The sequence below is a fragment of the Homo sapiens genome, chromosome X (genome assembly GCF_000001405.40).
Source record: "Homo sapiens chromosome X, GRCh38.p14 Primary Assembly".
NCBI classification, from domain to species: domain Eukaryota; kingdom Metazoa; phylum Chordata; class Mammalia; order Primates; family Hominidae; genus Homo; species Homo sapiens.
The window spans coordinates 14,703,874-14,717,591 of record NC_000023.11 but is presented as its reverse complement, the minus strand read 5'-3'; the positions used below and the strand labels follow the sequence as shown (position 1 = coordinate 14,717,591).

The window sequence follows — 13,718 nt, the reverse complement described above, 5'->3', positions numbered from 1 at the left end:
CAAAATAAACTTAAGAAAGAAAGATGATCTCTACAAATAAATATTAGAGCAGGCTTATGCACAGGTAAAGATTGTGAATGAATGCAATCAAAACCTGACCTGGTTAGAAAAGTGAGCCCGTGTCCTATAAGGTAGTTTAATTATTTCAATTTAAAATGATCAATGAGAGGTAAAACTGTGTGTAGGAGTATATATAAGAATTAAGCCTAGGTAAAGGACTTGATATCTACTTTTTTTTTTTTTTTTACTTTCTTAAGTGAAGAAATTGGCAGAAGGATAAAAGAAGAGTGAAATGGCAGAAGTATCTCTTGGATGTGGCTGACCCTGCTTCTCTCACCTTGATGCACTGAAAGCTTCTCTCTGTACCCAGGCCCTCCACTTGGAGGGTGCCCCCAGTTACACTGACCTCATCTGTCAATCCATTCAATTTATTGACCATCGGCAGTAATGTTGAATAAAGAAGCTCCTATTATAGGGCAGGCACTGGACTTGGCTCTGGAAGCACATAATTAAGATATACTTCTAAACTTTGGACACGTCAGATTTGTTGTTGCTTTTTTTGAAGGGGGCATAAATAACGAAATAGAGTATAATAGGAGGCATATTTTTGAGATATGTACAAAGGTTTATTGGGGTTCAGTTTAGCCTGAAGTCTCCAGAGTTGGTGAAGGTACTGATGGTAACACTGCTGAGACATACAAGGCGATGTGCAAATCATCCATGATTCTCCTATTCTGAAAAAGACTTTCTAGTTACCTATTGGTTTTAGGTATTAATTTCCATTTTTCTTTTTATTATTTTCTTTAATATTGCTTCCCATTCATATTAAAGGATAGATGCCCAAGGACTCTGGGTTTTGATAGCTGATTTTCACTATTATCTTTGCTCACCAGAGGGGTGAGCTCCTGGGAGCATGTCAAAATTAACTCTGTAGCCCTATTCTCTAGAGTACATTGCCTGGTTCCTAATCATTACTCAATAATTGTGTTTGTAGTGATCCTCTTAATTCTAAGTAAGGACACAGAAAAGTCGTGCTCCCTGGGGGAAGGGAGAGGACAGCAGTTGTCTCCTGGCAGATAACTCTCTCTTTACCAATTGTAGTCCTTTCTGCAGCCTCTGGATCAATCTCTTCCCTCAAAGGACTTCCATCCTCTTCTACTCACTTTAAATAGACTGGATATTGCAGAGGAACAGAGGAAATCACTGGGCTAGAATCTGAAAGGCTTTGGTTGAATTCACATCTTTACTATAACCTAGATGTGTGAGGTTGGGACAGTCCCTCAATTTTTTTTTGTTCTTCAATTTCCTCATCTTTAAAATGAAGAGATAGGACATTTGGCCATTTTCTGAATTTGTGGGTATAGGACTATAATGCTGGCTAGTATGTTGCCTTGAGACTAATCTCTAGCTGGTTGATATATTTAAGATTTTTCTTCCCAACCAGGGAGTAGACACATGCAAATAAGGGTTTTATTGTCTTCTTTCAACCCCGGCCCTGAGACCTTCTGACAGGGTCAGCTTCGTGAGTATGCATACTATACAGTCACACAGTGCCCAGTGCTTAGAAGGGTCCTGTGCTTGGCTTAATGCTCTGCTATAGCCATGTTGACATTCATAATAATTTTTAAACAAGGGACCTACATTTTAATTTTGCACTGTGCTACGCAGATTATGGAGCTATCCCTGCCTTCTACTTTAGTGGAATAGATGCCGTTGGACCATTGCTTCCATTTCAAGACTTAATACTTTTCAACAGTTTCTCATCTCCTTAATGACCACTCCCAAGCTCCTTTGTGTGACATTCAAGGACCCCCATGTCCTGCCTTACACCTACTTCTCTCATAGGATTACATGACCTTTGACTATAAACTGCTTCCCTTTATATAGAATAATCCTCACCTCTTTTTACCTGGTAAACTCCTTCAAGTCTTTTAAGATTCTACTCTGCCATTATTCTATTCAGAATGCCTTTTCTTGACCCCTGATCCTGAGCCATGGGTTCCTCCTTACCTCCTGTAGTACATGTCTCCATAATGGAATCTACTGCATCATATTAAATTCAACTATTTACGTGTCTGCCTCTTTCATGTAACTTTCAAGTGCAGGGGCCCGTTCTGACATATTTTGATATCCCCAGTGCCTAGAATAATACTTGGCTGAATCTTCCTACATTGAATGCATATATGTATAAAGTAAAGGCTTAAGTGAATGGTAATATGAAAAAAGTATTTTGTAACTTGAAAAGTCATTTCCTTGCTTATTTACCATATGGCTTATTTTTGCATACTGGATTTATATAAAATTAGGGCAAACCTAAGCTTAACAATGTCACTCAATAACTGAGGTTTTCTATTTTTGAAACACCGTCCATTTTTTTGGCCAAGTATTAAGCTCGTGAGCAGCCACATAGTGTGAAAATTAGATTCACCCTGTTAAGAATCTTAAAAGAAAGTGCATACTTATTTGCAAGGAAAACAAATGGAATAGACAAAAATTTTAGAATATAAAGACTTTTTTTCATTTATGTATGTGTTTACAATTCAAAATAATAAAGCTAGTTAAAAGTCAATACATATTAGATATATTCAAATATTTTACCAAATAAATTTCGATCTTATCAGTTAACACCCATAGCAAAAGACTAAGGAGTATTTGTATAACATTAGGGTATTTGAACTCATATTCTATTCATTTGGGTTTAGCAAGGAAAGCAAAATCCCTGTAAATCTATAGTAATTACCAAACATCCGTTTTTAAGTCTTAAAATTCTAATTAATGGAATATTCTCTTCATAAATCTCTTAAAACAAATTAATACCTGCACTGTGGTGCTTTGTACTATTTAGCTATCATTATACAACATCACCTTCATTGCCTTGATCACACATGTTATTTTTACAAGCCTCATGCATTTAAAAATGCCAGTAGGGCCTCTTATTCATGACAGACTTCACCCCCAGTAGTGGGGAAAATGTATGGGCAGGGGAGAACAAACAGAACTCAGTTGTGGTATGAGCAGAAATCTTGGAACTGATGTTGCCACAGCCTGTAAATGGCTGGGGTGGCGGCATAGGGAGTTGAGTTGGGCTATACAACTCCTAGTTACCACCAAAACCCATTCTTTATTTCTTCTCATAATGGTGGATCTTTCTTTAGTTCAAGGTTGCTTACCTGCAGGAATATTGATACTTGGGGCTAGATAATTATTTGTTCTTGGGAACTGAGCTTTGCATTTCAGGATGTTTAGCAGCCTACATGGCCTTTACCCACTAGATGCCAGTAGCACCCCGCCCCTGAACTGTGACACCAAAAATGTCTCAAGACATTGCCAAGTGTCTCCTGGATGAGTAAATCAACCCTACTTGAGAACCCCTGTTTTGGCTGGTCATAAATGTGTACGTGGAAAGTCTGAATATTCTAGCCTCCCCTACACCTATGTGGGGCTATGCAATATATCTAGTATCAGGAAATAGAATCAGTTCAAGCTTCAAACCAGGAAATAGAATCAGTTCAAGCTTCAAACCAGAACCTAATAACTTCTTGCCATCTCCAACACTACATGCTGGTCTGAGCCACCCCTTGGTGGCTCATCAGGATAATTCCCACCAGAATTATTGCAGTAGTCATCTACATGGTCTGCTGGCTTCTAGACCTGTCCTCCCAACAATAGTGTCTATTTTCAACATAGCAAATAAATGGATTCTGTTAAATTTCCAGTCAAATCAGGTCATCTTCAGCTCAAAACTCTCCAGTGGTTCTCCTCATAAGTCCTTGTAACATCCCCTTTACCTCTCAGACCTTAACTCCTGCTGTTCTCCCTCTAGCCCAGGAGTCAGCAAACATTTTCTGTAAAGGGCTAGATAGTCAACATTTTAGGCTTTGTGGGCCATGCAAACTCTGAAGTCTTTGTCTTTTCAATGTATATTTTGAATAGAATTTTCTATAGTGAAATATATTTTTCACTCTTCTTTGGATCATACCTCACCTACAGCACCACATTTTAAATGGACTAGAAGTAATTGTTTAAAAATAGTTGTTTGGCTTTCTGTTCAAAATCTATCAAGCAGAAATGTTTTTATTTAATGTCATCTGTAGCCTTAGAGAGTAGTTTAGAAATGGATAATATGGCTGTGATATTTCAATTCCTCATAAGAGAAGCAATGCCTTGCATATGGAAATTCTTTCACAGCAGTTTCTGTCAATTCTGCTCTAGCTAGAGTGCTCAAAAGACACACAAAATTCTAAGAAGCATGAAGGTGAACATCTTCCATCTGGAGTATGAGCTGTTTGATTATTAATATCATTTGCCATCTGTTCAGGGTGCAAGGTGAATGTTGAGACTGGAGGGGTCAGGTGATTAGGGGATGAACCCACTACTAAACTCAAAACAATAATAACAGCATCAGTGACAAATCACATCAAGCATTTGCTTGTTTACTAACTTGGATGATTCTGACTGCCAAATTCTCTAGATCTTTATCGTGCTTCAACTTCTCTCTCTATATATATCCACACACTTGGTGCCAAAGTGGTTATTGTATGGGATTATCTGTTGTTTATCTGGCACCACCACTCCTTAGGCATCTGCCTAAGGCTGGGAAGAACTATATTTCCCAGAATTCTCTTCTGGATTGGTTGCAGGTTAGGATTTTTCAGTAAGAGAAACTTGGAAGATCTGGAAAGCAGAAAGGAAGCAGAGGCTATTACTTTTGGGAATCATTGGGGTCAGAAGAGGCTGCTTTGTTAGACACGGTGGCTAGACCTTTCTGTGGACTCCCACTTTATGATCTTACTTTGGTGCCTAGACCTGGTGACTTCTCAGATTTTTCTGTGAACACTTGGTTTTCTACTCAGAACTTCATGTTAAGTCCCATCCTTTGACTATTGCCTTTTAGACCTTAACCCCCCCAGTTACTCCCCCACATTCATATAAAGCCTAATTTCTATATTAAACCCTTGATTTTGGTACTACTTTTAATGTCTTTGTCTTCATGACTATACCCAGATGGATACAGGTGTACAGTTACTCCAGACTTTTAACTACAAAACGCCACTTTAATGCAAGCAACTATAGTTTTTTTTTTTTCAATTAAGAGTGATTATCTTAATGTACCAAGCGTTGGACAGAAACAAGGATAAAGAAGACAAAATCCTGCACTTGAAGTCAGTGTGCGATTAGTGGAGAGGATCTAGAACATGTAGACGAGTGATTCTCAACTAGGGTCATTTTTGCCCCCTAGGGGATATTTGGCAATGTCTGGAGACATTTTGGTTGTCACAACTGGGAGAGGGTGTTTTACTGGCATCTAGTGGATAGAGGCCAGGATACTGCTGAACATCCTGCAATGCACAAGACAGCCCCCACCACAAAGCATGAATTATCTAGCATCAAATCTCAACAGTGCTAAGGTTGGGAAACCCTGATACAGACAAATGACTATAATATAATGTGATATCTGCTCTGGCAAAGGAACAGACCACCAGATACTATGGAAAAGGTAATGTTATGCCAAGGCAATTGAAGGAAAGCTAGATGGCATTTTTTTCTATAATAACATGACAAAATGCACTGCCTCTGCCATTTGGCCATTAGTTGGTATCTTTTAACCATCTGGCATCTTAATCGCGGAAGATTTGTTACAAAGGACAGAAACTCACTCATAGTAGCTTAAATAAATGGAACTGTCTTTAAGGAATTATTATAAGAAAATTATTGTAAGATAATCTCATAAGTTTCCAAGGATAGGGAAGCAATGCCCTGTAAAGGTGAGAAGCCTGGGCTCTGGAGCGAAAACTCTGGTTTCAAATCTTGGCTCTGCCACTAACCATTGTGGGAACTGGGTAAGTCACTTACTACGTGCCTCAGTCTCTTTTGTAGTAAAATAGAGATGATATCTCCTTCCTTAGAGGGTTTTTTGAGAAGATTCAGGGAAATGTACATTAAAAGTTTACATGCCTGGTATATAGTGTATGCTCAATAAATGTTAGCATGATGGTATACACAGGGCTATCTAGCCCAGGAGCTCCAATGAGCAAGTCAGGAAGTGAGAGTGTTCTCAATTTCTCAGGGCTCATGCTCTCTCCAATTTCTGCTCTTCTCTTACCAGGTTCCCATAATCATTCATGTTCCAATCAGGCCCACACCGCCTCAGCTCTATGTGAAACTGTTCAACTCAAGTCCTCACTGTCATCTAATTAGCGTATCAGAACCTCTGTTTGAATTCTTGAAAGAGAGAATCTCATTGATATTCCAATTTATAAACAGTTGTCCCTGGGTCACTGGATAGAAAAAGGGGTAGGATTATGAGATACAAACAGGACAGATTGAGAATAAGTTTGGGGGCAAGGGAACCCTCCCAGGGTGGTGAATGTTCCTGAAAGTGACAACACATGAGGAAGCATAAAAGGAACAAGAATAGAAGGAACAACAAAAGGCTGGCCTTGAGAAGAGATAAGCCTGGCTGATATGACAAGTATTTTCAAAAGAATGAAGGGCTCTTTTGAGTTCACTCATATTTGTATTAATGGCTCCAAGGAAACTAATCAGAGACTGTTGGTTGATATTACAGGGAGACAGAATTCAACTCTATATGAGGATGAACTTTTAACAACTCTGTGACTGAACATGGAACATACCACCTTGGAAGGTAATGAACTCACCATTGCTAGAAATAGTCAAGTATTCAGCCATTTGTTGGAAATGTTGAATGGGTTAGGGGACTAGGTGAAAATTTATATCTCTTCTATTTATGGAGTCTCTGTGTGTAAAAACTGCTAAGTTAAGAAGTCTAAGAGGGTAAACCACATTGAAGGTGCTGACCCAAGTTCAGGAAAGATGTATTTGATAAGCTATGTCCTGCTATGGCCCTCCATAATCTCTCAGAAGTTTCTAGTCCAGTTTTGAGAAACCCTGTTCTAATATAATCAACCGTAACAACAGTTCAGTTCAGGCATATTTTCCTCTTTCAATTATCTTTGACGTACATAATATTTTATTTCATCATTTTTAAGGGTTTTAATTAGGCAACAAGTCCCTTTGCTGCTGTTATAATTTTGAAGATGACTCTAATATAGAATATATAAAATATAGAATATAGAATAAGAAAACTCCTGATATAGTAACATGTTACCTCACATTATGTAAATAATGAATGTATGTCCTTTTAGAGGCTGACACATGGTGTTCACAGAGGCCTGTCTTTATTATATTGTTTTGATAGCCTAGAGGCTTCAAGCAATGATATCAACCTTCCAGATAGCCACTGCTTTCTTTCCCCTCTTCCCTCTTACTGCTCAATTTCTGCTGGAAGTAGCTCAGAGGGATGAAAGTCAATGCTGTTTGCAGTGGAAGTTTGGTGAGTTGTTTGTTTCTGCAGGGGGCTCAGTAAACTCAAGAACTGAGAACTCAATCACTAGGATCAGATCTATATTTGGTCTGGCCCTCGATGTCTTCCTGCCAACTTAGAAGAGACAGGTTAGGTTCATGATGAAATCGCCCAGGTGTGACTTGGAGAAGTGTTAGGAGGTTTCTAGCAGAGGGGCAGTGAGGCATGTCCTGAGGAGAGAGACATCTATGGGCCATCATGTCATTGCTTTCCACAGCTGCAGAACAAATGTGTTTCTCCAGGTGAAAAACTATAAACCTGCTTTCTCTGGCCAATCTTATCTCCTGAATTTGAATGATGTTGGTAAGCTAGCTCTTCTTTAATGAATATGGACTGTAGGTTCTGGTTTAAAATTAGCAGTTACCGAAGCAGGTGAACACTGTAAACCATCAGGAGGCACTTTCCTATTGCTTCTCTCAAGGACATTCAAAGCAGCAGAGTAAGGAGGGGGTATAGCTCAGAGGTAGAGCATTGGACTGCAGATCAAAGCAGCAGAGTGAACCAGAAACACAGTCTATGCTCCATTATTCTGGCTTATGATTGATTTAGCTTTGCAGATCATCTCTGTCCTAGCTCCCTTATGCTTTCCCTGCAACCATTTGTTTGTTCACTGTCGCTTATAGCTTCTTATACGCAACTCTTGCTGGAAAAAAATGGAAAATTATGGATAAAATGAGAGTTTGTTTGGTGGAGTATCTGTAGTGCATTTCCAAGAGTTCCTCTTTTCTCTGCTTCATTATTACGGTTACCAGATTTAATATTTCAGAGAGAAAACTTGTCTGTAGGCCCAGAGGGAAGATTGATTGAAGTAAACACAGAAGACAGATTGGTCACTATGGGAAAATAATGCCAGTATCTGTTGATCTAATTGTTGACCAGCTGAGTTTCTAGTTAAGAAAGTGTGCATGAAGGTATGTAACACAGTATTTGGCACATGATGGGGGGTCTGTAGCCCTTCCCTACTCCTTTTTAAAGAGACAGGGTCTTGCTCTGTTGTCCGGGCTGCAGTGCAGTGCCGTGATCATAGCTCACTGCAGCCTTGAACTGCTGGCCTACGTGATCCTCCCATCTCAGCCACTCAAGTAGCAGGGATTACAGGCATGCACCACTGGGCCCAGCTCTCCCTTTCGTTTTCAAAGATGTCAATACAATAGTTATAATCAGAGGCAAAAAGGAAAACCTGATATGGTTCTAAGACGATATATTTTCATAGAAAATGGACTTAACTCCTGAGTTGCTGTCTCTCTCTCTTTTTTTTTTCTTTTTGTGTGGAGACGGAGTTTCTCTCTTGTTGCCCAGACTAGAGTGCAATGGCGCGATCTCGGCTCACCGCAACCTCCGCCTCCCAGGTTCAAGTGATTCTCCTGCCTCAGCTTCCCGAGTAGCTGGGATTACAGGCATGAGCCACCGTGCCCGGCTAATTTTGTATTTTTAGTAGAGACGGGGTTTCTCCATGTTGGTCAGGCTGGTCTCAAACTCCTGACCCCAGGCCATCCGCCCACCTCGGCCTCCCAAAGTGCTGGGATTACAGACGTGAGCCACCGCGCCTGGCCTGATGTCTCTCTTTTCTCCCAGCTGTGTGCTGTATAATTGGGCAGATGTTGTGTCCAGCTGAGGATGACACAGCTTGAACTCTGAAGGCAGGTCACGGAGTGATGAGCCCACTGGGTCATGGGCATCATAATACTCAGGTGGCGTGTGAGTGTGGGCTGGTCAAACAAAAGCGAGGGCTTAGCAAGTTTTAGTGAGGTGCAATATAGTTAGTGCAACATATACCTCCTGTCCCTGTCATCATGGCAACCAAATGACCCCTCCTACTGTGTCTGTGACTGCCTCTTGAGGGTATGTGAGAAGGTTTAAGCCTGAGATGGTCAGGTGAATTTGTTTACCTGGCCTGATCCACCCTGAGAGCACTGGCCTTCAAAACTTTTTGCTGTGAAATACTGCAGGTTCTCACTTATATGTGGAATCTAAAATAATCAAACTCACAGAAGCAGAGAGTAGAATGGTGGTTGCCAAGAGATAGAGTGAGGGGAAAGGGGAAGATGTTGGTCAAGGGATACAAAGTTTCAGTTCTGTGAGATGAATAAGCTCTGGAGATCTAATGTACAACAATGTGACTATAGTTAACAATACTGTATTGTATACTTGAAATTTGCTAAGGGGGTAGATCTTTAGTGTTCTCATGAAAGAAAGAAGGAGGGAGGGAAGGAAAGAAGGTAGAAAGGAAGGAAAAAAAAGAAACTGGTAACAATGTGAGATGATGGACATGTTAATTAGTTTAATCATGGTGATTATTTCACAGTGTATACATATATCAAATCATCAAGTCGTATACCTTAAATATATATGATTTCTAATTGTCAATTATACCTTAAAGCTAGAAAAAAAATAAAGACTGTCATCTAACAGTGCATGCAACACGCGCGCGTGCACACACACACACACACCTTTTTTGCTGTCAAAGTAGGAAAACATATTTTCCATTACTAACCAGGACACACATACACACACTTCCACACACATTAATATATCTAATGGCAACAAAAGTTTCACAAAGTAGTATTTACTTTTACAAAGCAGGATATACCATGATATTTTCTTTGTTGTTGTTTTTTGGTTTTTTTAGAGGGTGGAGGGTGGGGGGTGGGTTAAAAAACTACCTATCAGGTTCTAAGCTCACTACCAGGGTGAAGGGATTCATGCTCCAAACTCTGTATCATGCAATATTCTCATGTCAAAAAGCAGGCGAAAGGAAGAGAAAGGAAATACTTCATAAGTATTGGCTGTATGCAAGGCACTGTTCTTCACGTGCATAATCTTGCTTGCTCCTAACAGCAGCCCATGAGAAAGGACTTTATTAGACTCTTTCTACAGATGAAGAAACTGAGACCCAGAGTGGTTAGGCCATGACTCTAATCACCCAGCAAATAAAGCACCAGCCAGGATTTAGATTCAGCCAGCTGGACTCCTGGCCCTAAGCATGTGTCACTATGTCATGCTTCTCTCTCATATTCTTTTTTGCATGTTTTGGAGAGAAAAAGTATATGTTATTAAGAGGACGGGAATTCAATGGCAGTAATTCCAGGAAATGGTGCTGTAATGAAACATATTGACAGGATAGGGTACTTGGCTGGGATGAAGAAGGCTGACTTTAAGACAGGTATTTTTGTAAGTTTTATTTTAATCAATCTGCCCTAAAAGACAGGAAGTGTGAAAGAACATTCAATGATTCTGTGTTGAATTAAGGCGTCTCAGGTCTGGCAGTCAGGAATTGGCTGTACGACATTCAGCAAACCTTATAAACTCCCTGTGGAGATATCACTGCCAAACTACCATAATTTGAAGCATTTTGTGCTTTCCAGAATGAAGTTGTATGACTATTTAGAATTATTGTTTTACTACAATGCATGTGTGCACTGTTCAATCTTGTTAACAAAGGTGAAGCTCCTCACTCTATCATGGATCCTGTTACATGCCATTTCAGATCATTTCCTCCTTGTGTATGTGAACACAGAGCTGAGAAGGAACCTTCTCAGTTATAGGAAAAGGTCTTTCATGGGGTTCCCATTTGGCTCCTAATACCAGAATGATAATCCTAGGCTACTTAGTGATTACTCTTCTTGAGAGAAACAAAACAACAAGCAACATAGGGTTAAATTACTCTATATGATTGAAATCTTTCACAATTAAAAATAAAATTTAGTGCAAAACACAAGCAGCCACAGTAATAAACTTAATATTTCTTACCAAGTGAAAATAATTCTATTTAAAGCTTTGGAGCTTTTTACCATGTCTTAATAGTAATAGTATGCCTTGTTTTAGACTGTGCATATTGCAACATGCATACAATTTAAAAGTGGACTCTCTGCGATATATTCTAGAGCAGCACTTCTCAAGCTTTAATGTGCTAGTGAATCTCCTGAGAATCCTGTTATTTTTGATTCCACACGTCTGGGGTAGGGCCTGAGAGGCTGCATTTCTAGCAAGCTGTAGGTGATGCTGATGCTGCTGGTCAACAGATGACATTTAAAGAAGCAAGGTTCTCAAACTTGGCTTCACATTGCAACCACCTGGGAAGCCTTATAAAACCAAGATGTCTGGGCTCTACACCTAAATATTCTGATTTAATGGTCTGAGGTGGGGTCTGGGCATTTAGATTTTAAAAAGCTCCCAGGTGTCTCTAGTGTGTAACCAGGATTGAGAACCATGCTGTAATGGGTTACCTTGTTTCTAGAAAATACCAGAGCTCATTTCTGGTATGACTTCTGTTGCTCTTGAACAAATCCTAGCAGCAGCAGATAGAGTGGAATGAAGTGGAGGCATTTAATAACTTAACCTCCTGATGTTTTTACACCCATGTCAACATGTCAACATTTTGAAAAGCAATTAAATCATACACCCAACAAAATTCATGCCCCTGTTCATTACCAGTACAAAGAACCATATTTTGGATCCCTGATTTGCTATATGATGTAAATAAAAAGAACTTTATGTAGAGTAAAAGAGTTCACTTACAAAAGAGGAAATTCTTAATGAAAGGTTTTTCTGACTATTTTGTCAACTGGGTTATACTAGCTCTAATTAATTACTCCTGACAGGAGTGACATCTTTATTCATAAGCAGCTTGCACTCATGAAGCTAAACCTCAGTCCTCTGTGTGCACAGCATGCTTCTGTCCCTTAGATTAGGGTTTTTCAAACTTGACACTATCCATATTCGGGTCAGATGATTCTTTGCTATGGGCACCATCCTGTGCACTGTAGGATGTTTAGCAGCATCCTTGGTCTCTACTCATTAGAGTTCAGCAACACACACAGTCCCCAACCCCAAGTTGTGAGAACTAAAAACGCCTCCATACATTGCCAAATGTCCCCTGGGGTGGGGAAAAATAGCTCCTGGCTGAGAACCACTGCCTTAGATCAAACAAAGCTTCCGTGTCACTGACTCTCACTTTCCTCTTGAAGGTCTTGGAGTGGGAAGCTCTCCAGGTTCATCTGATGTAAATGTGTATCAGCAAGGCAGGATAAGGCTACTTTCTAATGAGCATTAAATGCCACCTTAAAGAATGTAGTTTTCATTACCTATTTAATTATTTAATCTCTGTTTCATTTACTGACAATAACAAGATGAGTTTAGAATAACTTACAGTTAACATTCTAAGATAAAATGAACTTTACAAATGCTGCTTCTTTCTTGAGAATCTCCTCCCTCCTTAAGAGCTGGAAGTACACTATACTCTCCCTTCCTGGGAATTGCCACAGCTCCAACTATAACTCTCTTATGGTTCTTAAAATTCTCTACCTCATATTAGAACATTTTTGTACTTTTTTTCTGATATTGACCTCTAAAATTTTGTGAAAACAGGTTTCAAGCAGTTTTTTTTATCTGCCCCTTATCTAAAACAAAACACTGTACAAGGCAAGCATTCAAAAACTATTTGTTGAAGAAATGAAATCTAGGATTGTCTAGCAGCTTAGAATGAAAACTAAGAAGGCAGGGGTCGTTTCCTTTTACCCACTCCTGCACAGAGCCAAGGTCATTTATTTTATAAACGGTTATACTCGCGTCTGATGCTGCCTCATCAATCAGGTGGGAAATAACTCCATTTAAGCATATTGTCCCCAAATCAGCTTGTTAAAAACAAGAATAACAGTGATAGAGACAAATTACTACTATGATTAGGCAAACCCACATCTCTGATGTAATGCCAAGGAAGCACCAGACTTTTCTGTCATTTAGCTCGATCTTTTTATGAGAGTCCAGTTATGCTGAAATAACTACAGCTCAAGTTGCCATCAAGAATCTTAAACCATTGTGCAGGATCTGGATTTTAAAGTGGAAAAAAAGAATCTTACACCAATTAAGAGCTAGATAGTGAAAGAAGAAGGTTCAAGGTATCTGCCATCATAGCCTTTATGAAACACTAGTAGAGCTGAAGGCACAGGCTTGATTTCAGGGACATAAAGCAATAGAATTGTGTTATGAAACCTATTTTAGAAGCTCAGCAGCACAGAAATATTTTAGCAATGCCAACTGTAAGGTACAATAAACCATTGTTTGACACTTGCTGCTCCTAGATTCCCTCTGTTTCCACACTTTAGGCACAAAAAGTCCTCCAGAATCTGGTGTTTAGTGGGGAGGCCGAGGATGGGGTTCAGTGGGTTGTGATTCTCATGAGGTCCTTGGCCTAGGAGGCATTGCACCTTAGTTTGTTTTTGTTCTCTCCAAAGCAACCCTGAGATGAGGGATTGCATGCAAGAGGTTTACTTGGGAGGCAACAACAGGAGTGTGGTGAGGGAGTGGGGAAGTGTAGGACAAGGAAAGGAGAAAA

General features: G+C 39.7%; 2 protein-coding genes across 12 annotated transcripts in view; one reads left to right on the top strand and one right to left on the bottom strand.

Moving 5' to 3' along the window:
* The window catches only part of GLRA2 (glycine receptor alpha 2), a 283,034-nt gene that overhangs the window by 14,221 nt on the left and 255,095 nt on the right, over window positions 1–13,718 (bottom strand). The gene's annotated exons all lie outside the window — the stretch shown is intronic.
* Window positions 1–13,718, top strand: part of FANCB (FA complementation group B) — a 183,546-nt gene that overhangs the window by 155,478 nt on the left and 14,350 nt on the right. For all 4 annotated transcript variants that reach the window (XR_007068184.1, XR_001755674.2, XR_001755672.2 and 1 more), the window contains one exon: window positions 6,569–6,646. The gene's annotated coding sequence lies outside the window, so the exon portion shown is untranslated. The remainder of the gene's footprint in view (window positions 1–6,568; window positions 6,647–13,718) is intronic.